The sequence below is a fragment of the Homo sapiens genome, chromosome 1 (genome assembly GCF_000001405.40).
Source record: "Homo sapiens chromosome 1, GRCh38.p14 Primary Assembly".
In the NCBI taxonomy this organism is placed as follows: Eukaryota; Metazoa; Chordata; class Mammalia; order Primates; family Hominidae; genus Homo; species Homo sapiens.
In genome coordinates, this window is record NC_000001.11 from 201,078,439 (window position 1) to 201,103,016 (window position 24,578).

General features: G+C 49.1%; 1 protein-coding gene and 1 long non-coding RNA gene across 3 annotated transcripts in view, besides 2 other annotated features; one reads left to right on the top strand and one right to left on the bottom strand.

Annotated features, from left to right (window-relative positions):
• Positions 1-24,578, bottom strand: part of CACNA1S (calcium voltage-gated channel subunit alpha1 S) — a 72,915-nt gene that overhangs the window by 38,927 nt on the left and 9,410 nt on the right. For both annotated transcript variants that reach the window (XM_005245478.4, NM_000069.3), the window contains exons 3-10: positions 15,444-15,583; positions 13,534-13,676; positions 13,202-13,354; positions 10,820-11,025; positions 9,388-9,491; positions 6,998-7,143; positions 6,512-6,593; positions 4,724-4,884 (exon numbers count right to left, since the gene is read on the bottom strand). In XM_005245478.4, the coding sequence (XP_005245535.1) occupies positions 4,724-4,884; positions 6,512-6,593; positions 6,998-7,143; positions 9,388-9,491; positions 10,820-11,025; positions 13,202-13,354; positions 13,534-13,676; positions 15,444-15,583 (1,135 nt within the window). The remainder of the gene's footprint in view (positions 1-4,723; positions 4,885-6,511; positions 6,594-6,997; positions 7,144-9,387; positions 9,492-10,819; positions 11,026-13,201; positions 13,355-13,533; positions 13,677-15,443; positions 15,584-24,578) is intronic.
• On the top strand, positions 17,311-20,200 carry LOC124904481 (uncharacterized). The gene is made up of 2 exons (XR_007066788.1): positions 17,311-17,444; positions 20,104-20,200. It is a non-coding gene; the product is annotated as an uncharacterized LOC124904481 (long non-coding RNA).
• Positions 22,673-23,174: an enhancer, noted in NCBI's record as "H3K4me1 hESC enhancer chr1:201070239-201070740 (GRCh37/hg19 assembly coordinates)". NCBI's record gives its function as "activates a minimal SCP1, AML or CMV promoter by ChIP-STARR-seq in naive H9 embryonic stem cells {active_cell/tissue: H9 hESC(naive)}" and the evidence as "EXISTENCE:reporter gene assay evidence [ECO:0000049][PMID:30033119]".
• Positions 23,175-23,674: an enhancer, noted in NCBI's record as "H3K4me1 hESC enhancer chr1:201070741-201071240 (GRCh37/hg19 assembly coordinates)". NCBI's record gives its function as "activates a minimal SCP1, AML or CMV promoter by ChIP-STARR-seq in naive H9 embryonic stem cells {active_cell/tissue: H9 hESC(naive)}" and the evidence as "EXISTENCE:reporter gene assay evidence [ECO:0000049][PMID:30033119]".

Genomic DNA, 24,578 nt, shown 5'->3' on the forward strand with positions numbered 1-24,578 from the left:
ATCCACTGGCCTCAGCCTCCCAAAATGCTGGGATTACAGGTGTGAGCCACTATGCCCAGCGAATTTTTAAATTAGCTTCAAAAAAAAAAAAAAAAAAAAAACCCGGTAAATTTTGCCCATTGATTTCTTGCAAGCTAACTCATATCATATTTAACAGGAAGAGGATTTTATTACTCTTAATTCTACTGAAGTTCATTAAGTCTGCTACTCTCTCATTCCTATACACCTCCCTCCTGGTAGAGAAGGGTCCTGCCACCTACCTGAAGCCAATCCATCCTCCCACGCTTTGCCCCCTCCCCCTTTTCGGGAAGCTCCCTGTCCGTGATTCTTTTTCTTTCCTATATATTTAACTTCTTTCTTTCAAATGGACCCTCACTTTGCCATTCTTAAAGCCAAAGTCTAGGCCGAGCGCAGTGACTCACACCTGTAATCCCAGCACTTTGGGAGGTCGAGGCGGGTGGATCACAAGGTCAAGAGATCGAGACCAGCCTGACCAACATGGTAAAACCCCCTCTCTACTAAAAATACAAAAAGTAGCTGGGTGTGGTGGCATGAGCCTGTAGTCCCAGCTACTCGGGAGGCTGAGGCAAGAGAATCGCTTGAACCTGGGAGGCGGAGGTTGCAGTGAGCCGAGATCAAGCCACTGCACTCTGGCCTGGTGACAGAGTGAGACTCCATCTCAAAAAAAAAAAAACAAAAAAACCCAAGACTCTCCCATTTTCCCTCTATCTTCTATCCTAGCTCTCTCCTCCCTGTCACCGTCAAACTCCCGAAAGTTGTCTATATTGCTCTCTTCACTTCTTCACCCCCTGCCCTGCCACATTTGCTCTTCACCTCATCCCTACCTGGATGCACCCTCACTACTTCACCAACACTACTCTCTCCAGGGGCATCGATCTGCCACATCCAATGCTAATCTAACCCTCCTGCTCCTGACCTCCCAGCAGCACTGGGCACTGTTGACCATTCTCTTGCTTTTTCAAGCATTCTGTCCTTGGTTTCTGTGGTGCCACATCCTTCTGGGTTTCCTCTACTTCTCTGTATTTTCCTAAGCCTCCTCTGCAGATGCATTCTTTACATCAGCAAGTATAGGGTCTTCCAGTTCTCCCCACCCCTACCCCTCCACTTTCTTTCTGTGTCCTGACTGAAAATCGCAGAGCGCTTTGACCGCTCTGGGACCCGCAGCTACAGGTTTTCCTCAGCAGGCTTGACCTCAAACTGGGGCCTTGAACATTCCTAGGCACTAATAAAGGTAATAGGTGTTGCCCCAAACATTGAAAGGAACTGGCCACAGCCCTGAGCCAGATTCCTTAAACCCTTATCTAAAGTCCATGCCCTGACCCCATTGCTGCGGATAAGTCTGGGTAGAACACCCCTTTTCTCTTGCTGTCCATCATGAGAATTGCTGCAACATTCTGTATAGTAAGTTTCCCCAACAAAAGCTTTGGACTGATCACCCTGGCATTTAGTGCTTCTTTCTTTGGAATCGCAACCAACCCTATCTCAAGACTGTTTGGGGTAGTCCTTTGTGAGAATTCCCCTACCACAGCTTTTGGGGCAATTCCAGCTGAAGGTTCAGCAGGATGAAACAGCGAGTCATTGAATGCTTGATTTGAGTGATACCCTTGAGTATACACTCTCCCCTGGAGATCTGGTGTTATCTAAGACCACAGCTTCAGACCATCCCCTCCAATGCGTCCCAGATTTAGTTCTTCAGCTGAGACTGCTCTGCTGAGTTCCAGACCTATTTTTCTGTCTGCTACCTTGACATATCCATTGGGATGTCTCAAAGGCACATCAAACTCACCATGCCCAAGACAAAGCTCAGGGATACTGCTCATCCTCCCCCACTACCCCAAATACTTGGTCATTAACCATTTTCTCAGTAGGTGGCACTACTAGCCATTTATCTGCATAGGTCACAAACCTCAAAATCACCCCTGACTCCTCTTGGTGGGCACTGTTCACATCATCTCCACATTTGGTCATTGACAGTGTTTTGACAACGATTGGCACATTCACGGTGCTCTCGAGAAGATTGGTTGAGATGAATGAATGAATGAATTCATCTGACCTGTAGCTAGTAATTTAAAACTAGCTTTGTTTCCTATTTCATTCCCATAGAAAAAGATAATCTTGTTTTCTATTTATTTTCCTTCTTTTACCTCTTTCATCATTTTAAACAGTCTCCTTTGTACTGTTCTATCATCTCAGGTTTTTGGGGCTGCCAGCTTCCATTGATTGTACCTGATGACTCTTTCTCAGGGTGGCTCTGTTCCTTATTTGGTTTGCAGTTTTTTTTTGTTGTTGTTTGTTTGTTTGTTTTTTTAATTGTGATCTCATCTTCAGGAAACACTTTTCCCTTCAGAAATTCTATATGCCTTAGATTAAGAAGCATCCTTAAAGAATGGTTTATGTTTGCTTCTGTTGAGTACCCCAGGGATTTTACTTGTTTGCAACTTGATTTTTATGTTACTATCTTAGTTTAGAATCCTTGGACCATGAGAGGTAGTGTATATTGGACCCCATACCTATATAAGGCACTGATAGGATTTTGATTTTTCACTTGAGACATTTTTCCTTTCTCCCAGGGCCTCTAGCAGGAATAAACTTCCAAGCTCATTTCCTGGCCCAGTGAGATTTTGGCTTCCCTTCCATGGGGGCAGACTTTCCAGGGCCCTGGCTCTATGTAGGTATGACAGTGCCAGTTCCCACCTCATGCAGGTCCAGGGCCCTGTCTCCAGCCCTGCACAGGCCTTAGGAACCCAGCTGCTACCCATTAGGGTTTAGGCCTAGGCCTAAAATGTCCTTGGAAGTCAGTTCACAAGCTCGCTGCTCTGGCTTTGGGTCACTTCTTTGTTTCTGCCACTAAAAGACTTCCTTTTCATTCCAGGAAACATCATTCTTATGCCTTATGCAGCAGTGTTACTTGTTTGTAGTGGGGAGGGCACTGAGTTTGTCCACCGTGTTGTTGGAACTGGTCAGTCTTTTCTCGTATCCTACTCGTCTCACGGTCCAGAGCTTCACACCCAGGTGAACATCTACCATGTGGACGAGGCCGACTCACTGACCTTCCACCAAGACTGATCTTTCCAAGACTCAAGTCTGATCACATTATATTCTTGCTTTTAACTTCTCACTGGCTTTCCATTGCCTAAAGTGTAAAGTCCAACACTTTATTCACATATAAGGCCTGATATCGTTTGGATAGACAGCCCTGCCCAAATCTCATGTGGAAATGTAATTCCCAATGCTGGAGCTGGGGCCTGGTGGGGGGTGTTTGGATTGTGGGGACAGATTCCTCATGAATGGCTTGGGCCATTTCTTTGGTGTTAAGTCAGCTCACTCTGAGTTCACCACAAAACCTGTCATTTAAAAGTGTGTGGCACCTCCCCTCCCACTCTTTCTCTCTCTTGCTCCTGCTTTCGCCATGTGACATGCCTGCCCTCCCTTTGCCTTCCATCACGATTGTAGGCTTTCCAAGACCTCCTCAGAAGCTGAGCAGATGCCAGCCCATGTTTTCTGTAAAGCCTGCAGAACTGTGAGCCAACCAAACCTCTTTTCTTTATAAATTACCCAGTCTCAGGTGCATTTTTTTTTTTTTTTTTTGAGACAGAGTCTCGCTCTGTCACCAGGCTGGAGTGCAGTGGTGCAATCTCGGCTCACTGCAATCTCCACCTTCCAGGTTCAAGCGATTCTCCTGCCTCAGCCTCCTGAGTAGCTGGGACTACGGGTGCATGCCACCACGCCCAGCTAATTTTTGTATTTTTAGTAGAGATGGGGTTTCACCATGTTGGCCAGGATGGTCTCGATCTCTTGACCTTGTGATCCACCCACCTCAGCCTCCCAAACTGCTGGGATTACAGGCGTGAGCCACCGCGCCCGGCCTCAGGTATTTTTTTTATAGCAACACAAGAATGGCCTAACACAAGGCCCCCATGAGCAAACACATGTGTTGCCACTCTCTTAGTCACATGCAAAGTTCTTACGGCTTCCTGAATTTACTAAACTGTTTAACGTCTTCATATCTTTGCACACACTGTTCCTTCTCCAGGATCCCCTCCTCCCTTTGACTGCCTAGGGCTTGTTTACCTATCCTTTAAGATCCACAGAGTTTCAGCATCTCTTCTGTGATTCTCCTCTTGCTGCTACCTTGTATTTACCTCTATCATTGCCCTCCTTCTATTGACTTGGAATTATTTATTAAGATCAGTCTTCCCCTCTGGCTAAGTAAGCTCCTTGAAGCCAGGAGTGGTGTATTAGTGTTCTCTGTATCCTGAGTTCTTTTCCTGTGCCTTACATGTAGGATGCACTCAATAAATAGTTGGTGAAAGACTGTTGTTTTTGTAGAATTTGAACTTGGGTGCTTAGAGTTCCAAATTACTAGCAATTTTATGTCCAGTGATCTGTGATTGGAATAATCTGCCCGGACACCTGGGCAAGCACCTGTCCCAGCCTATTGCTTTTACTGACCTTGGTAAGTAACAAAGCCATGAAGAGGAAAATTGGGTATGTTGCTTTGCCACTTGAGGTCTCCGTTTTACCCCCGTGAAAGGAGCTGATTAGGTCATATAATCCAGCACTCATGGTCCATAATTTTTAGAAAAATGATGTCAATATCTAATTGACCTCTTCTGCACAACCTGTGGTGCCATTGGCTGATTTTGACATCAAGCCACAGCCACATGTGCCCTCCTCCCGGCTTCACTCCGTTCCGCCTCACCTTGCAAACGGGTCAGCCAGAGAGGCTGGTTGTGGTGCTCTGAGGCGATAGACAGGGTGTTGAGGGCAACGATGAGAATCACCAGCCAATAGAAGACCTTGGACTTCACGATGTCATGGCACTTCCAGCGAAAGATGCGGTTCCACTGCCTCCAATGTCGGCTGAGGGAGGGGACAGAGGATGGTCTACAGTGCTGTGCTGTTCTACGCCCCACCTGTCCAAGCTACCTTCAGACAAACTCCAGGCATGCGTAGCCTGACCACCCCACTTCCGCCAGCCACATGAGAGAAGCTCAGGGCATGAGCTAGGGAGCCAGACTGAGTAAAATCCTCCATCTTTCACAGAAGAGCGATAATGACACAAACCTCCGAGGCAATGGAATGAGAGGATGCACGCAAAATGCTTAGCACAAGTGCCTGGCAAGGAGCAGACGCTCCGTGTGGTTTAATTTTAGTTAAAGCAACTCTGAGATGCCACGTTTTGCCCCTTATCAAAGGCCACTCTTCAACAAATTAATAATATCTGGGGAGGGTGAGGGGAAATGAGCTTTGACAGTACAATCTTTTTGGGATGAATTGGCAGCACTTACCAAAATTTAAAGTCTATATGCTCTGTTTATTAATGTTTTATTATTTATTTATTTAGACAGGTCTTGCTAGGTTGCCCAGACTGGACTTGAACTCTTGTGCTCAAGTGACCCTCCCACCTCAGACTTCCGAGGAGCTGGGAGTAGCTATACCCTTTGACCCAGCAAGTCTATTTCTAGAGTTCCTTTGGCAGAAGTGGTCATACTCATCCACAACTGTTCCCTGCAGCACTGTTTGTATCGCCAAAGAGGGGAAAAATTAACTACATTATGGCATATTCATCCTGTGGAATGTTTTACATCCAAAGATACAAGAAGGAAAGTGAATCTGCTCCGAAAATTGCTCTCAATAGATAATTTTAAGTAAAAAAAGGTAAGTAACTAGATAATCCTTTATTGGATTATCCTTTAGTGTGTATTATATTCATTTATTTGACAAATATTTGGCAACACCTCATATGTGCTAGGCACTCTTCTAGTCCCTGTGGTGACAGTAGTTAACATAAACAACCCCATTATGTAAAAAATCAAAACAAAAACAAAAAAATCCTGGCACGTGTGTGTGTGTGCAAGACGGATGAAAGCACAGAAAAGATCTTAGAGGCTGCACATCTGTTACCATGGTTACCTCTTTGAAGGGCACTGGAGACCTTCATCTTTTCTTTGATGTATAGCTCTATTGTTTGATCTTTCAAAATCATAATTAAGTATGAATTTGTAAAAGGAAACAGCCAACCAAATAAACAAACCCTCCTCTTAAGACAATGGCGAGAGAGCGTGGAGTGTGCTCTTGCCTCCAGCCTCCTTCCTGAGGGGCTCCCGGTTTGTGCAGCCTCTGCTGTGTACACTTTCCCTCTTCCCTCGCAGAGGTTTCCAACATGAATGACCTCACCCAGCTCTGCCCTGATCAGGGTGAAGTAGCAGCAAGCATGCTCACTGCTCCTGGAGGCTCCCAGTGTCCTTCTTATGTGCTATATAAATAGGTCATCTGCTCAGGACCCCTCTGATCACACATTCCCCGAGGATCTGGTCCCTGCGGAGTCCCTCAGAGCAGGAACTGGCCCTATTTTCTTAAAAAGGCTGCCTTTCTAAAGGATTAGACAAGTGACTCTGAAACCACTGAGGGGAAGTAACTGGACTCTACCCTCATGTCTCAGGGAGCTGGGGGTTGGGGGTTCCTGGGGCAGTGGGCAGATACTCACATGAACTGGATGATTTTGTTCAAGCCTGCAATTTCATACAGGCTCTCTGTGTCAGAGCCACCTTCATCCAAAGACAGTTTTCCTGGAGACAGGAGAGAAAGAGTCAGCCAGCCTTCGGGGCCCCTCTGGGCTGGACACACCTGGACTGGGCACCCGAGACAAGGGCCCATTGACCAGAGACATCTGCAACAATGGGTCCTAGGTAGGCCTGGATTGCTTCGTGCTTTCCAGAGACTGAGAGTTCCAAGAGCTAAAGAGCCCACTTTATCTGCAGGGGAGGCGCTATGAGGATGGGCAGCAAGTACCTTTGGGAAGAGCTCTGGTCACACCTGGATCTTACCATTTTGAGCCATTTTGCTTTAGGCAAGTCACTCACCCTCAAAGGACTAATGTTGGACTTGCTCAGTGGGCCTGATTGCAAGGTATGACTCAGAGGTGGGAGTGAGAGAGTGGGGTGAGTGCTGACCACAGCCTTTGGGCCCAAACCTTCTCTGAAGTCCTCAACATCCATGACCTCGCCCTGCGTGATCCAGCTCATGTAGCCCCGAAGGTCCTCATCTAGTTGCTGCTTCTCCCGGAGCTTCTGGAAGGTTCCCCTGGACTTGGCCTTCTCCCGCTCCTTGGTGAATTCCCTGAAATGAGATGGGGGAGCCAGGAGAGGAGGAGAAGAGGGAACAGTGTCAAGGAAAGACTGAGCTTCCTGAGGACAGACAAGCCCATTCTGTGACTGGAGCGCTCCTTTTTCTGGCCCCGGGGTGTTGCCTGGGGTCCAGGTGCCCCTCAAGGTGGCTGAGAGACAGCCCCTCTCACTTCCTGCTCACCCGTCCCCACCCTCCAGGAACATCCTGGAGTACTCCTTGCCCCTTCCTCATTTCTTTCTTCTCATCCATCTCATTGTCTCCTGCCTTGTTTTGGGGTTCCCCTTGCACATTAGGGGTTAATGACAAGGCAGTCCATTGCCTAACTGAATCAGCCACGGAGCCTCAAATTGGCCATACTGCCCCAACCCTTCAAACTACCTTAGAAATTTAGTTTTGTACAGACCAAAGGCCTGGGGAAAATTCTCCTTGGACTCCAAGGAACCAGTTGGCATGGCTGGAAGAAAAGGACCCAAGGCTCCATGAGGGATCTTCAGGCCAGCAGAGGGCAGCCCTGGGCTATGACCACCTGCCCCGCAGGGCAGGAGGAAGAAGACAGCACAGGGGTAGTCTCTGAGGAGCTGCGCCTGGCAGCCAGGAGGGGTTGGCCCACAGGGCAGGTCGAGTTGCCCTGGTCAGGTGGGGTCCAGGGAGGGGCTCTTGACCAGTTTGTGCCATGGACCCTTTGAAAGTCCAGTTAAGCCTATGGATCTCTCTTCAGAATAATGTGAAATGCACAAAATAAAACCATAGCATGACAAAGAAGCCAGTTACAGCTAGGCTTCACTTAATGACTGGGATGCGTTCTGAGAAAGGCATTGTTAGGTGACTTCATCTCTGTGCAGACATCAAGAGCGTACTTGCACAAACCTAGATGGGAGAGCCGACTACACATCTAGGCTACATGGCATAGCCTATTGCTCCTAGCCTACAAACCTGGACAGCGTGTTACCATACTGCATACCGTAGGCGATTGTATCTGTGGATCTAAACATAGCTAAACATAGAGAAGGTACAGTAAAGATACAATCTTAGCGCACCACTGTTGTGGATGCAGCCCGTCATTGACTGAAATGTCATCATGCAGCACATGACTGTATGTTAAAATATAGTTATCCATACAAAAAAATTGTGATCAAGTAATACATTTGCTTTTTCATTAACTCATTAGCAAGATCTAGCTGCAGGTTTTATATCTATCATAATTTCAAAGTATGGAGTAGTTAGTGTAAATACTATTCGCAACAACTGTAATGTGACATGATTTCTATTAGGACAAGTCATAGGCCCTGCTAATAGCACTGTGGTTTGTTGCCTATGTTCATTACTAAAGGAAACACTAAATTTCAGTTACAATTGTGAAAAATAAAGATAAATGTTTCCTATGCAAGTTTACAGACTCCCAGAATTCTATCTATAGACTGCCTGGAAGGAAGCTTCTGGAATGGGATGATACCAATGGGGAAGAAGGCTGATGGTGACTTCTAGCCTCTCTGCTGTGCTGGGGTGGGTGGAGGGATGACAGCAGGACTGGTCTCAAAGAGAACAGCTCTCATTAATAATGACCATTAGTATTTAGTGCTTATTTTGTGCTGGACTCTGTTCTAAGTACTTTATATGTATTAACTTATTTAATCCTGACAACAACCCTATGAGATAGATACTGAAATAATTCTTAGGTGGCAGATGTGGAAATTAAGGCACAGAGAAGTTAGGTAATTAGGTAAAGCTCACACAGCCACCAAGCAGTAGTGCAGGGATTTAAATGTGGGCATTCTAGCTCCAGAGTCTGTGTGCTTAACCGAAAGCCCCACCGCCTCTTAGTGCTAAGGCTCCACTTAGGCACCCCCGGGGCCAGGAGGCTGGAGTTTCAGGGGCTTCACTGAGGAGTGTCAAAACAGAGGGACGGGAGGGGTGAGAATGGGGGAAGACTTGAGGAGGAGGAAAAAGGCAAATTAAAAATTGAAGGGCTCCTGTGTGCCTCTCCTCTCTTCCTGCTCACCAGGAAGGAAGCGCTCTTGGCCCAACTGAGATGACAGGGAACCCAGGGATGAGCCGAGGGCCTGACTCACAGCCCCCTGCCCTGCTCCACTCCTTCCTCCTCCTCCCTTCTCTCCTCCTCCTCTCCACTCGCCCCCCACCCCTCCTGTTTCTTTTCCCTCCGTTCCTTTTCCTTCCTCCTCCTTCTCCCCTCCTCCTCTTTCTCTTTTCTCCCCTGGCTACCTTTGAATTTCTTACCCACTCAGGACACCCAGCACCAGGTTGAGGATGAAGAAGGATCCCAGCAAAATGAGGGTGACAAAATAGATCCAGGGCCACTCATTCCCGATGGCATCATTGACCTGGTCAGGACAGAAGTGTGATCCTCTGAGTTGAGGGCTTGGTTCCTCTTCCCCAAGTCTGCTCATTAAGACTCCACCCAACCCTGGGGGACAAGGAGAGAAGCCACGCTGGGATATTGAGGGGACATTTTTCCTAACCTGAGGACTAGTCTGGAAGAACTTTTCCAGCCTGAGGACTAGGATCTGGTCTGGAAGGATCTCCCTAGGGAGACCTTGCTGACTGCCTACCTGGCCCGGGCAAGACTGACCTAATTTCCCTCCAACCAAGAGTGTCTCCTATCTGCCTCCCTCACTTGATCTCCCTCATAGACTCTATCTCCAGTTGATTTATTTAAAGCCAAGATTTTTCAAATGAACAACGTCTGTGACCCCGGACAAGTCACCTAACATCTCTGAGCATTATTCCCAACCATCTAATGGCGATAATGACATGGGCTGTCTCTCCTCACAGGCTTGATACAGAGGTGAAATCATACATGTGACAGTCCTTTGACATTTTAAATAATTTGCTCTCCTAATACACACTTACAATAAATATTTGTACTAATCCTTGGTATTTGCAAAGCATTTGACAGTTTTACAATCCCCCCACCCCCACAATAGGCGGCGTCATATTGTGGTTAATTCTGGATTGGAGCCAGGGGGATCAGAGTTCGATTCTTGGCTCTGTTGCTCACTAAGTTCTTAACCATGGGCAAGTTACTTTAATCTCTCTGAGCCTCAGTTTCTTTATCTGTAAAATGGGAGCAATGCCTTCCATCATTGAAGGATGAAATAAGAAATCTAGCTCTTAACAAACACCAAATAAATAATATACTCCAACAAAGAAACTCTTACTGGAGTGTTGACTGTGTGCCGGGCACTGTTGTAATTCTCCCACTAACTCTGATATAGACAGTATTATTATCCTTATTTTATAGGTGAGGAAACTAATATCTAATAATAGTTATATGGGAAAGCAGTCTTGCAGAGGCAAGGAAAAAGACTCAAAGGGCCCTTCGTTCCTCAAAAAGTGTGAAATTCTAAGCCATCAGAATTGAGTCACTCACAGCCAGGTTTTTCCTGGTTTCCATTCTTCACCCGCCCCTTGGATCCTGCACAGACATATTGTATCATGGGGATTTCCCCATAGGATGCTGGGGCACATACCTGGGAACCAGAAAGGGACACACATCCTGTATAGATTCCCCAGGGAGGAGCAAGAGGGAGCTGTGGTCACGCAAGTCAGAGACTGGCCTCCTGTGTGGACTGGCAAGCCCTCCCTCCCCACTCCCTTGCAAGCCTGTGGATGAAGGGAGATGGTTCTGCAGGCGCGGGCCCAGACCCACCCAGTAAAGGACGTCAGTCCATCCCTCCATGGTAATGCACTGGTACACGGTGAGCATGGAGAAGCCGAAGTTGTCGAAGTGGGTGATGCCATGGTTGGGCCCTGGCCAGCCGCCCCGGCACTCACTGCCATTGATGGTGCACCGGCGCCCTGAGCCCGTCCTGGCGCAGGGCGATGGCTCTTCATTCTCCACCGTGGCCACGATATCTGGAGGCAGAAGGCAAAGGGAACATCAGACAACAGTAGTAGGTGGACAACGACAGGAGGAAAGGTGTATAAGAGCAATTTAAGAGAATTGAGCAGTAAGTCTAAAGACACTCTGCTGAAAATGCAAAAGACAGCTTCACATGGAGCAGACGGTGACAGTGAAGAGGAATGCCTTGGGCTGAGGATGGCTACAGGCAGCGGGAATTATGTCTTGGGCCCCTGGGCCTCATGGCAGGGTCGGCTTCTAGGATTAATTGTCCTAAGCAGTGCAACCCATGAAAGAGGAGTAATCTGAGTGTCATTTGTCCCCACAGAACTTTAAAAAAGAAGGCAGCTGCCTGGCTGGAGCAGGGCTGGAGGTGGAGGGCTCACATGTTCTGACTTGAGAGTTCTGTCTGGGAGGTGAAATTGGAGAAGCTCCAAAAGCACTGGGCTGAGCTTTACAAGATACCCAGCTGACGGGGCAGGGGTCTGCACTCAGGGGAAGTTCCCACCAGGCCCGAGCCTGCACTCTCCTTTGTTCCCCTGGATGATGCTTTCTTGTCTCTAAAATCCTGTACTTCTGATGACATCCTGCATCTCCTTTTATCTTAGGATGTTTTACAGTCTCCTTTTGTGTTCAGAGATTAGATTGGCTCATCAGAACTGGAACACCCTGCCTTACCCATATTTATCTATTTACCATGTAGGCTCAATGCTCTGAAGATGGAAAGGAGAGGACATTGATGGGTCTGTAGGGGCCCTGACCCCATGAAGTCAGAAGCCCCGATCCGAGAGGGGCTTTTGAGCACTGCTGCTCAGCATTCCTCAAGATCTCATGAGAACACCAGTGAGACCTCCAAATTTGGGTTGAAGGTGTGATCAAAGGTCACCTCCTATCCATCCTGATAATGCTTATGATAGGATGTAGATTGTGGTGGTGATGGGAGGAGGCTGAAATGGGAGGGGTCTAGGAATATAATCCCTGAAAGCTGGACCAGAGTTTACTCTTGTGAGTTGGGTTTAGGACTGGTGTTGACTGTCCCTTTGTTGTCAGCGGTCATGAGGAGGTGAGTAGAGTCTTCTGAGACACTGAAGGCCTAGAACAGTTATTCTGGTGAGTTCAATGCCAGGGCTTATGGAGGAGGCTAAGTCCCAGTGAGCTGCTGGCAGGGTAGAGCAGCCAGTCTCAGAGTGGGACCCGAGATTCTTTCAGAGTGTCGGCCTGACCAAAATGATTTTCACAATACTGCTGAGACGTTAGTTGCCCATCTGTCTCTCATTCTCTCAACAATGTAGACTGGAATTTTCCAGAGGCTACATGAGTTGTGATTTGGCAGCACACACACACAGAAGTTGATGTGAGAGTCCAGCAGCCTCTATCAAGCCAGGCAGTGAAGAGATTTACAAAAAGTGTAAAATAGCGTCACCACTCTTCTCACCAAATATTACTGGTTTTGGAAAAATCTAGTTATTTTTTATTAGAAATATACTATTTATGTTCTCATGTCATGGGTTTCTTACTGTTCTTTAAAAGTGAATTAATAAATTAATATTGTGACATGTTCCTCGGTTTTCATTTCTCATACCATGAATATCAACAGATCAAAACCTATATAAACAAAAGCTCTCTGAGGTCCTCAGTAATTTATATGAGAGAAAAGGGGTCCTGAGGCCAAAAAGTTTGAGAACTGCTGCTTCAGCTCAAATATATCTGGGCTTCAATGTAGGTTATTTCTGGAAACTCAAAAAATGACTCCATTTGGCTCTTGGGTGTTTTTTCTGAGGTCCCATTCAGACCCTATTCTGGGTGCCTGCTCTGAGGGTCAGCTCAGACTAAAGCTAAAACTATGCGACAGGAAATGTACACATAGAAATTCAAGCTTATCCCATGCCTATGTCTCCATCTACCACAGGTCCAGAGAGCCTGGAACATACCACATTGTATGTGGGGCAGGGGGGTGACGGTGTTTCAGAACCAGCCATGGCCCAGGCCCCTGCTCACTTTCTTGGCTCACTGACTCCAGTAGAGCTGCCCTTCCTCCAAGTCCCCCTTATCCAGGAGAAACCCATTCTCAAGGTCAACAGATGTGGGCGGCAATGGCTGAGCTCCGGGCTCCTTCACCAGGTAGGGTGGCTCCCCCTTCTGAGCCATCCTAGGCCCTGCCCCACAGCCCCACTTTCCCTGGGAGCTCACCTGTACCAATGAAGTAGCAGGTCTTGTGCATCTTGCCCTTGAAGAGCTCCAGCCCGATGATGGCATAGATGATGACCATAAAGAGGACCAGCAGGGCGATGTGAAAGAGGGGGAGCATGGCCTTGAAGATGGAGTTCAGGACCACCTGCAGGCCTGCAGAGGCAGGCAGGGAAGGGAAAAGAGGAGTCGCCTCTGCTTGGTCTCTTGGCCCTCCCTCCCTATAAATCCTGGGAAGCCCCTGAGATGTCAAGGTAGGAAGGGGACCCAGAACTGGGGGACAAGGGAACAGGAAGGGAGAGGAGAAAGGGGTCTGCAGGGACACTGCCACCCACTAGGCACCCCCGACACCAGCCGGAGGGGTCTGAGCACTCGGAAGGCTCTGAGGGCCTTGACATCCAAGCCGGCTCCTTTGCTGCTCATTGGGGCTGTGTGGCTTTGGATGACGTTAACCTGTTCCAGAATCACGGTGAAGACCCTAGAATGGAGAAGAGGGAGAGAGGGGGTCCAGGGGTTGGAAAAGCCACTGCCCCAGTGGTCTGAGGCCCTGTGTCCTGTCCATGCTTGAGCACCTGTGGAAAGGCCTAGGGGAGAGACGGCAAATACGGGTGCATCAACTAACAAATGATCTGATCATGCTTATCTGGGGAATTTCACTTAAAAGGATTCTGACATCAAGTTCATACTCAGTGAAAAGAGTATGGTGCTCCACTTGTGAGGTCTACTTTGGGTGCTGAACGGGGGTGAGGTATGTGTGCCACAGGGACAGTCCCTGGCCCTGGGGCTGAGTACCCCCAACACGGGCTGGAGGTTACCTGTACATAGTCAGTGGTGACCCAGAGAAGAAACTCCACAGCAAGTTCTCCCTCTGTGCTTTTCCTCCTGGCTGCACTTTTTGATAATGCCCTTTATTTTCTTTCCTACTGGCCTCCTCTTCCTCTCTTAATTTACTCAAATTTCCATTATCCTTTGAAGTCTACCTCAAATTCCTTTGCCTCCAAATACTTCTAACGGCAGAACTCCCTGGGACACATTGCGTATGAAACAACAATGCGCTGTGAGGTACTGCTTTCTGCACTCTATTATTCTGTACGCATTTGTCTTGGCTTCCAACCAGGGCAGTTTGTAAAAGGCAGAGGCAGATTCACAGAATTCTTCTATTTTCTCTACTGAGCCAAAAGTAGCACTGGATGGTTAGCAGGTAACCAACACCATCCTTACGGAACTGAAGGACAGCATACTGGTTGAGCATGCAGCCTCTGGAGCCGAGACTGCTTTGGCTTGAATCCCAGCACTGCCACCAGCTAGCTGTGTGACCTTGGGCAAGTTGCTTGACTTTTCTGTTCTTTAGCCTCCTTATTTATAAAATGAGGGAAAACAGGATTGTGGCAAGAATTAAGTGAGAGGGTACATGTAAGCACATATTAAGTGCTTGATAAATGCTATTGTTATCATTACGTGGTAGTTACTCATGGTAATGCTATGGGTAGAGATATGTTCCTTCTAAATTCATATGCTGAAGCCCTAACCCCTAGCACCTCAGAATGTGGTTGTATTTGGAGACAGGGTCTTTAAAGAGGTGGTTAAGATGAAACGAAGTTGTTAGGGTGGGCCCTCATCCAATTTGACTGGTGTCCTTATAAGAAGAGGAACTCTGGACACACAAAGAGACACCAAGGATGCACAGGCACAGAGGAGAGACTGTGTGAACCCAAACCTGCCAGCATCTTGACCTTGAATTTCCAGACTCCAGAACTGTGAGAAATAGATTCCTGTTGTTTCAGCTTCCCAATCTGTGGAATGTTATTATGGCAGCCCTAGCAAACTAATACAGGTTAATAAATGTCCGTTTTTGTGAACCCAAATAACAGGTACTCAATACAGGTCTGTGGAATAAACTAATAAATGACAGAGGCTGAGAAACTTATGAACATCCAGAAACTGCTGGCCAGTGGAAACATCCATATCATTTCCAAATTTGTGTGATGTGAGGAGGATAATGGAATTTATAGCATCTAGCAGGGGAAGGAGATTTGACCTGCGGGCAGGGTCGGGGGCAATGATCCACTCTCCACCAACATGGACAGCTCCCTTGCTGGGCCGGCCTCTAACAGAGGCTGCTCCATGCAGTGGTTAGCACAATGCTGGAGTCCCACCCCACCTCTAAGATGCTGGTGGTGGTGGCAGTGGGCACACAGTCCTCAGCGAGGGTCTGACCTTCAGTCTCCCCACACCCAGCTCTCACCCCAGGAAGACAATGGTGAAGTCCAGCACATTCCAGCCACTGCGCAGGTAAGCGTCCTGGTGGAATAAGAAGCCGTAGGCAATGATCTTCATGGCGGCTTCAATCGAGAAGACAATGAGGAAGAAATACTCCAGCTTCTCCTGTGGGAGCAAACGTGGTCACAGCATGCCTCTGTGCTCTCTGAGTGCACCCTTGCTCTCTTCCCTGCAGCCGTGCTGGGTTCCCTGCTGTTGCTCAGGCACGCCCACCTCAGGACGTTTGCACTTGCTGATGGAATGCCTACCCCCCCACTCCACACCTACATGCCCCCACACTGCCACTCCCTCACTTTCCACAGGTCTTTACTCCAAATTCCTTCACTGAGGCCTTTTCTGGCCACTAAGTGTAATGCGAGCCATCTCCAGCATTTCATGTTCCTCTCCTCTGCTTAATTTGGTCTTCTTAGCACTTATCCTTAGCTTAAATACCATATCTATATATATATTATACATATAAAATCTTGTTCATTATCTATCTTCTCCACTAGAATATAAACTCCATGAAGCATGGGGATTTTTGTCCATTTTTTTTTCATTACTCGACTTCCAGATATTAGAATGGGTTGAATAAATGAAGGATCTGAGGTACCCAAAATGAAAGTCCCCAGGTGGTTTCTGGCTTTGGCACCTTTATTCTCTCACCATGCAGGGGATGGATGGTAGGAGACGGGGGTGGATTACTCAGAACTCCAGATGCCTTCCCTTGCTGGGCAGTGTTGCTCTTTAATTCATTTTCCTTTAGGGTCCCCTGCCCGTCCCACCTGCCCTCACATTGGCTTCCTTTAGGCAGCCCCTTAAAGGCCGTGACACTATTACGCAGGGTGAGTGGAGTGTGGGGTACACTGTGTGTGGGGAACACAGGTAAGAAGCTGAGGTTTCAGCTCAGCCCCACCCTGCAGAAGGCCCGGCCGACACTCCAGGACCTGTCCCCGTAGCCTGATCCTCTGGGTTACCCTATCCTTGGCCCCATCACCTTTCCCCCTCTTCTGGGCCCAGGTGAGAGCTATTTCTAACTGAGGAAGCAAGTCTCTCTTGTCAGGACTCCAGGCTGAAACTGCTCTCCTTGCAGCCATCTGAACCCTGGCTTGGCAGCTTCTAAGAGCTCTGGCCTCCAGGCCTTCCCAGATTAGCACAGCCTCCCGAGGGGGTGCTGACCCAGCCTGCAGTCTAGGCCAGCCTGCAGCACGGCACAGCTCCAGGAGGTGTGTGTGTGTGTGTGTGTGTATACATATATATACATATATATATATACACACATACATATGTACGTGTGTATATATATACACACACATACAGATCTATCCTGATTGGTGCTCTCTGGAGTTACACAAGGGGGTCTGTACCCCCACAACCCAGCCCCCATCACCATTAGTCTGCAACACTCACACCCATGGAAGCATCTCCTGGGACCAGGGGCCCACCCCATCAGCACACTGCGGAGGCGTCATTCATATTCACAGTTCCTTAACTGCGGAGCCAGACTGGGGAACTGGGCACTCCATTAATGATATGGAAGATAATTTATTTTTACTTCCAAGTGAGTAGGTATGGGAGGCAAGGGAAGAGGTCCCCAAATGGCTCACTATTGTGGATATGGCTCCAGAAACCTCCAAACTTGTCATTCAGAGAATTTTCCTGAAAGCATGATTTTCCCCTTCCAGATAGAAGGGAAGACTGCAACATACAAGGACTAGACTTGCTTTTCTTAATTTTGCCCTTCATTCCTTCTATTAATTTGTGATCCCAAAGCTTTCCCCTTCTTCCAGAAAATGGTAATGTGATGATTAAAATGCAAAGCCATGCCATTCTGTGAAAGGGCCTGTTGATGGAGACTGTGCTTGGCACTCTTGGGGAATCGTGGGGCAGCTGCTCCAAGGAGGAGAGCTGCAAAGGGAGGTCTTGGCACCCTCCCTGGCAAGAGGAGCGGGCTGGAGCAACTATGGAGGGATCTCCCTGGAATTGGGTGAGTGGTCTCCCCTCCTCTGTAGGACAGGTTTCCTGGGAGTCAGGCACACCATTAAGGAAAAAGTGTAAGGGAGGAGAGTGAAGTCAAGGCAGCATTTACAATTTCAGGTTGCTGCAACCCCAGAGGGATAGACAGAAGTGGGGTTGAGGCAAGGAAAAACAGGACCTGAAATAGTTTCAGTGCTCACAGGCTGGGCGGCCAGCCATGAACACCGGAGAACTGCCTGCACCTGCCACTGCCTGTCTGGCTGCGGCCTGGCTCAGAGAGAGCTTGTCAGGGGCTGTGGGCTTCAGATGAGGTCACTCAGTTTCCTCAGCCTGTTAGCTCCAAGGCCTGCCTCTTTCCACCATACTCCCTCCAGCCCAACCCTGGAGTGCCTGGAATTAAAACTCAGTACCATACAATCCCTGTGTGTGCACACAGTGTGAGCCCCCGTTCCGGAGGAGAGGGAAAAGGGATGTGTCCCCTCTTGCATCATAGGAACAGTGTCATCAATGTCACACTGGGTTGGCTGACAGCCTCTGCAGCCTGGGCTCAGTCTTCCATGGAAAAATGAGGGATAGTCATTCCACAGATATTTATTAAGCTCTGGACTGGATGCCCTGGGTAAGACCTGGCTGTCTCCCCAAGATCAAAGTCACCAACCTTCCTAAAACATCCTAATTTCCTGTGACACCCCCAAGCATCCATCGTGGGCAGGTGGGAGGCAGAAGATGTATGGTGTGACGGTTTTCACCAGCTCTGCTGCTTTGGGCAAGTTCCTAAGCTTCTGTGAACCTCAGTTTCCTCATTTGTAAATCTGAAATAATGAGAGCTACCTTGAAGAGTCATGGTGAGGATTAAATGGCACCTTGTAAGTGTCTACCCCTGCCTGGCATGCACCAAATGCTGAATACATCACAGCTATTCTTATGAGACACGTGGGCCCTTGGTGAAGGTCTGTTTTCTGCCTACACTGTGTTCTATTGGTTTCCATTATGTTCTATTGGTTTTCACAGAGCTGTTGTTTGATGTCATGTCTGTGGGTGGTCACCAGGGCTTGGCTTCGACCCACCTCACACTCAGTATGTTTGAAACGGAACTCCTTCTCCTGATAAACCTGCTCTTTTTCATGTGTCGCTGTCTCAGCCAAAGGCACTCAGTGGCCCAAGCCAGAAACCTCCAGGGTCTTTCTGGACTCCTCCTCCCTCTTGCTCTCCCCGGGTCCCAGTGTCCAGCAGGTCCGGGCCATTCCACCCCTACCGTCTCCTGCATCCAGCTCCTCCTCTTCAACTGCCCCTGCCATTGATTGCTCTCCCCTGCCTGCAGTGGTCCACCGCCACCCACGTCTCCTCCCCCGAGCCCTTCTCCATACAGACCCGGCTACTGCCTTGCTTGCAAGTCTGCAATGGCTCCACAACACCTACCAGAAAAATCCAAATGCGTTTCCGTGGCATGCAAGATCCTCCATAACATGACCCTTGCTGACCCCTCTGGCCTCGTCACCAGCCTGCTGGCCACCCCGTCAATCATGTGGAATGACTTTCAGGTCCCCTAGCTCTCTAGCTGCCCCAGCCTCCACCTTTGCTCATCCCGGCCCCTCTGCCCAGAGTGTCCCTGAGGCCCACTGTCCAAGTAGACCTCTTGCCTCTTACAACCCTCTGACCCCCCACAGGGAGCACCAGCTCTGTGTCCTCACTGTCCCCTATAACCCTGTGCTTCTCTTTGCTGCCTCCTGACAGACCGCAGCTTCCTTGAGGCCACGTCATCCTCACATGTGTTTCTAACTGTGGGGATTCTCCATGGCTTCTCTGCCCCAAGAACAGGTGACATTCCCCCATCAGTAATAGCATTTGGGCTTGGGGGCCAGGGTCACTCTCCAAAGAAGCCCTCTCGGAGTTGCTGCTGGTGGTGGGTGAGGGGAGGTTTTATGGCTTGAGAAGGCACCGCCAACTGGTGATTCTGATGCCCTTCCCTTAGTGACATATGGTCCCCCGACACAGATGAAAATATTTTGGGCTCAGGGCTTCTGCCCTTGCTGTTCTCTCTGCCTGCAATGTTCTTCCCCAGATATCCTCATGACTCACTTTTTTCTTTCTTTCAGGGCCCAACTTGAAGGTCACTTTATCACTGAGACCTTCCTGGCTCTCACCCCCCAACTGTCTATCTTCTTAGCCTGATTTGTTTTTGTTTTTAGCTGTTGTCAAAACTTGACTCGCTATATATTTGTTAATTTATTTGACCCATCTCTCCTGACCTGAATATAACATCATTGAGAGCAGGGACTTAGCTCTGTTCACTGCTGTGTCAACTGCATCTAGAACAGTGCCTGAAAGTCTGTGATGGAATAAATGAACCAGTGTCCCGGGGCACTGCTGCTAGAGGTGCAGGCTGTGGGCAGGTGCGGCTGCACACCGTCGATATCACTCTGAGATGAGGTCAGTGTAGGCATTGAGTAAGCATTTGGAAAATTCTATGGCAATCTGCAGCCACTTCCATGCATGTGGGTGGACTATAGACCATTCTGGGTTTGTCAAAGTCACATGGCAAATCCCAGCTGGCACACACACACGAAGAGAACAGTGTCATCAATGCAGTACACCCATGCAGTAGGACCATGTATCAGGCCATGATGGAGTAGAAATTAAAAACGACGAACTGTGGTCTTTCCCTACAGATCATCTGAGAAGCTCTGCTATAGAATGCGTCATCCTGCCCAGCACACAGGAGGCTCTCAGGCTATGTTTGTTGAATAAATGAACAATGGAAAGTCACAATTTCTGCTCACCTTCGAACCAGGTGCAGCCTTGGGATCTGCATTCCTAAGAAGAGACACTGGACCTCAGGCTCTGACCCCAGAGCAGGAGGGCAGTGGCTGTCCCTGACCCCCTGATCTCTGAGCTCAGGGGAGGACAGTGAGCCCGTCCAACTTCGTGAGGTGAGAGCTCCCTTACCTCACCCCCCAACAAGGGCCTTTATTATTAAATGTCCCCTTCAAGGAAATTCTCATCCTTCCATAGACAAGCCTCTAACTGGTGCTCCCTGGGGCCAAACTTAGCTGGAGGTTGGCGTGGTGTGTGACCCCTGATGCACAGGCCTTGCACCTGCTCCCAGGGGCATTGGAGCCAGGTACTTCCAGAGTCTTGGGTTGAAAAAAGCAGGGCTGGGACCGCACATCCCCTCACCCTCCCACTGCCTCTATTTTCAGGCTGAGTCTGCTATTTCCAAGGGTCAGCCAGTCCTGAATACTTCTCCTCCCCTGGCCCGCATGGGGCTTTGTGGGAAGATGATGAGAGCTGGTTGGGTTTTCCTCCAAAGGGATCTGCCCAGCTCTAGTCTCCCTATCTGGGACCACAGAGGCAGCAGATACCACACCTTCTTCCCCTGCAATCCTACCCCTAGCACAGTGGCCTGGTCAGGACTCCAGGCTCCCAGGCTCCCCATGTGCCCCGCTGGAGGGTTCTGGGATCTACAGAGCTCACTGAAAGGACCTTACTGGGCTGGCCTGGGAAGGGGCTGGCAGAGGCAGCAAAGTGGCTGCAGTTGAAGGGCTCCCTGGGAATGTGCACTGCCACCACATGACTGCCTGTCACCTGGGCCTGAAAATCTCCTTCTTTAGGTTCAAGGCATGGTGACCTGCTCAGGCATAAATCTCACTGGGACAGGGAGGCAATGGACTCATATTCGTTGTTAACTCTTTAAGGCACGTGTGCTGCATGGAGGCAAGGTGGATTTGGCTGAGGAGGAGGAAGCCCAGGGTGCTTGCAGGGAGCTCAGGCTGGGGTGGAGGACAGACATCCTCAAATGTCCCCTCCCTCTTAGGAACCTTACAGGAAGCTCTCCACACAGGCTTGGCAGGTGCTACTATTAGAAGACAGTTTTACAATATTCCTGATTGCTTTCCTCCCGGATTCCCTCACTTTCTTGTTCCCTTAAGCTGACAGCTGGACTGGGCCCCCTTGCCTCAGGATGGGTTTGTGGCAGGGCCCCAGGCTTTTGTTTTTCAAAGCCTGAGAATCACTGCAGCTTTGGGAAGTCTCAGGGGTAGAGCTCACAGTTTGAAGGTGTGGCAGGATCTGGGAGGAGGCCCTGGGACCCCCAAGAAAGCAGGACCCAGCCTCGATTCCTGCCTTAAGAAGGGTGCAGAGGACCTATAACCCTGTCACCTGCACACTGCCTGAGACCCAGGGCCTGGGCACATTCCCCAGGCAGGCGGGATAACTGAAAGCACCAGAATAGCTGCAGTGATCCCTCTCCATCCCAGAGGGATATGTGCTCAGGATCCATGGAAAGTTGGTTCACAGGAAAAAATAAGTCATTTCTTGCACACCTCAGTTGTGGACGGAGGTTTGCTCCGGCTGTGCTGTTTTTCCTGTTTCACAGAGGTTGGAAGTGAGACTTAGAGGGGAATGAGGTGTCTGCTAAAGGCAAGGAGGCGTTGCCTGCTGTGACTGAAGCAACAGCGTTTCTGGTAGGCCGGCCTGATGTGCTGGCCTCTATGGCCACGCCGCACACTGGGTGTCCAGGGCCCTGGCATCTCCACAAACACCTCAGCCTCCAGGTTTGGAAGATGACCTGCTGAGGAGTGAGGGAAGTGGCTATGTTTAGCCCAACGAACGCTCACCCAAATAGACGTAACTGGAATGGGTATCCCTTGCCATCCTACCTCTGTCTCAGGGGTCTCATTTCCCTCTTCCAGTTCCCTCTTCCCCTCCCTGTACAGCACTTCCCTTACCAGGGAACCAAGCTCCCTCAGGTCTGGGTGGGCCAGACACACCAGGGCTGACTAGACAGAGGGACAATGGGGCTGAGGGTCCCAGTAGGGCTCTGCATGCTCAGGGTGAAGGGGGCTGGGAGAGAAAGGGAGACCAGTGCTGTCTTGGGTAATGAGGATAATAATAGCTAAGCTTTAGTAAGCACCCGCTTATGAGCCCGGCCCTATTCTGGCCACATGCATACATTTAATCCTCACTGAAACTTTATAAGGTAAGTACTTTTTTTTTTTTGCCTTTTCAAGTTTTTATTTGTATACATTTTTGTATTAAAAAGAAAAATAATCATCACAGATTACAAAGGGCTAACGCAGTAATAGAAGAATGAATGAATCTCTTTAGCCTAGAAAGCGGATACTCTCAATAGTATTAATGTCATAATACAAGCTCATCCAAGCGTTTTACATTTCTTTATTTTAATGTCCTTTTAAATGTGATGTCCTAGCATGTAGTAAAGATCATGTACTATGAGTGTAAGATGGAAATTTCTCCACAAAGCCAGATAAGTTTTCCTCTCTAGTGAGAAATGGGCTATAATAAGTTCTTAAAAATTCTTATCTTCTCTGCCATGAATGAACATGGCTGAAGGTGGAGAGGCTGCGGGCTGGGGAAAATCCAGGGACCTTTCCACACAGGAGGTTCTCTGGGGTTCCATCCCGGAGGGTGTCACATAACCCAGATAACTCTACTCAGGCTTTTGACAAAAAACAACCCTCACCCTCCATAACTAGTCATCTTCCTTGCCCCTCCTTCTCACTTCCAGGGCCTTCTGAGATGTATCTTTCATAAAATCAATAATCAGGGAAGAGGAAAAAAGAGCTAGGATGGAACAAAAGTAAAACGTTTAGCAACTTTGACACAGGGGCTCGGCACCTCTACCTGAGCTGCAGGGGTCCCGGCTGGGGCAGGGCCGGGTGGCCCTCCTCTACTGGCAATGCATCTGCTCCCAGATGCAGGAGAGGGTGAGAGAGACTCGCACCTTTCAGGGCCGAGGCACACACACCTTCTGGTGTCTGATGCCCAAAGTTTGTGCTGGCATGGACCAACCTTGGGAGCATGCAGGATGAACAGGGGGATCTGGGCAGGCTGCTGCCTTGTGTCTCAGGTCTTGGAGCCCCATGGGAGGATGGTGGGTGTGAGGTGGCCAGCCCCGATGGCCCTTGCCATGACAGCTACATTGGTCCTCAATTCAAGTGTCTTCAGAAAGTGAAGATGTAAGCTACTCTTTGCAACATTAACTCCTAACAAGTCCAAAAAAAAAAAAGTACAAGAAGAAAAGAAAAAGCATCCCCCCTCCTCCATCAGCATATGTTGAGATGAAGCCCTCACCTCTCTGCCCCAAAGGGGCTTTCTCTTTCAAGGATGTGTGTGAAGAAGACGGTAGTCCCCTGGCCTGGGAGTAAACTCTAGATAAGAACAGTCTTTCACCACACCCCAAGGCTTCCTTGTGCCTCCGAGCCCAGTGGAGGACGAACACTGAGGTTTCTGTGGTGCTGGATACAGCACAGGGTGGCGTGACCTGAAGACAAGAAAGGGGGAGGAGGGGGTCCTCCTGGAGTCCAGTGCCTGGTGAAGTGTGGGGCAGGCTCCAGACTGGGCAGGGAAAGGCCTCGGATCCCAGTGTCACAGCAGAGGCCAGACACTCTTCCTTGGTTCAAGGTGAATAGGTCACAGGAACTGAGACGGGCTTCCCACATACAACCACTGGGAGGGCAAAGGTAGGGAAGGGTACAGGCCGGAAACAACGAGGTGCCCAAGGTAAGAGGCAGGCCCTCGTCAGCCTCGGATACTGTCTCCTACTCCCAACCCTTGGGCCCAATAGAGGAACCAGTTGAAAAGGAAGGCCCGACATATTTCCATCAGCAAGCAACAGGACCACCAACTCCTCCGTGTTGCCCAGCTCCCACTGAGAGTGGACATACAGTCATACCCATACCCAACACGCATCCCAGTCTGTGCGGAGCAGTCCATCATCATCCTCCCTAGCTTCGGACGACAGCCGACTAAGGTAGGTACTCTTATCCCATTTTACAGATGAGGAAGCCAAAGCACAGAGGGATTAATTTCTCCAGGATCACATAGCTACCAAGAGGCAGAGCCATGATATGTATAGACAGTTTGATTCCAGACTCCATGGTCTCAACCACTATGCCAGGCAGAGGGGAGAGAAAGATACAGTATGCCTGGGACACCTGGGTACATTTGTCAGATCCCGCCCTCAATCCACCCCAGGTCTGTCTTTGCCCCCCGAGGCTTGGGTTCAGTGTGACTTCAGCTGTGGGCTGTTAGTGCTGGGAGGTCAGAGAAGGAAGGGAATGAACATTTATTGAGCAACTCTTGTGTGCCAGGTCAGACACGAGGTTGTTGCACTCATGGATAT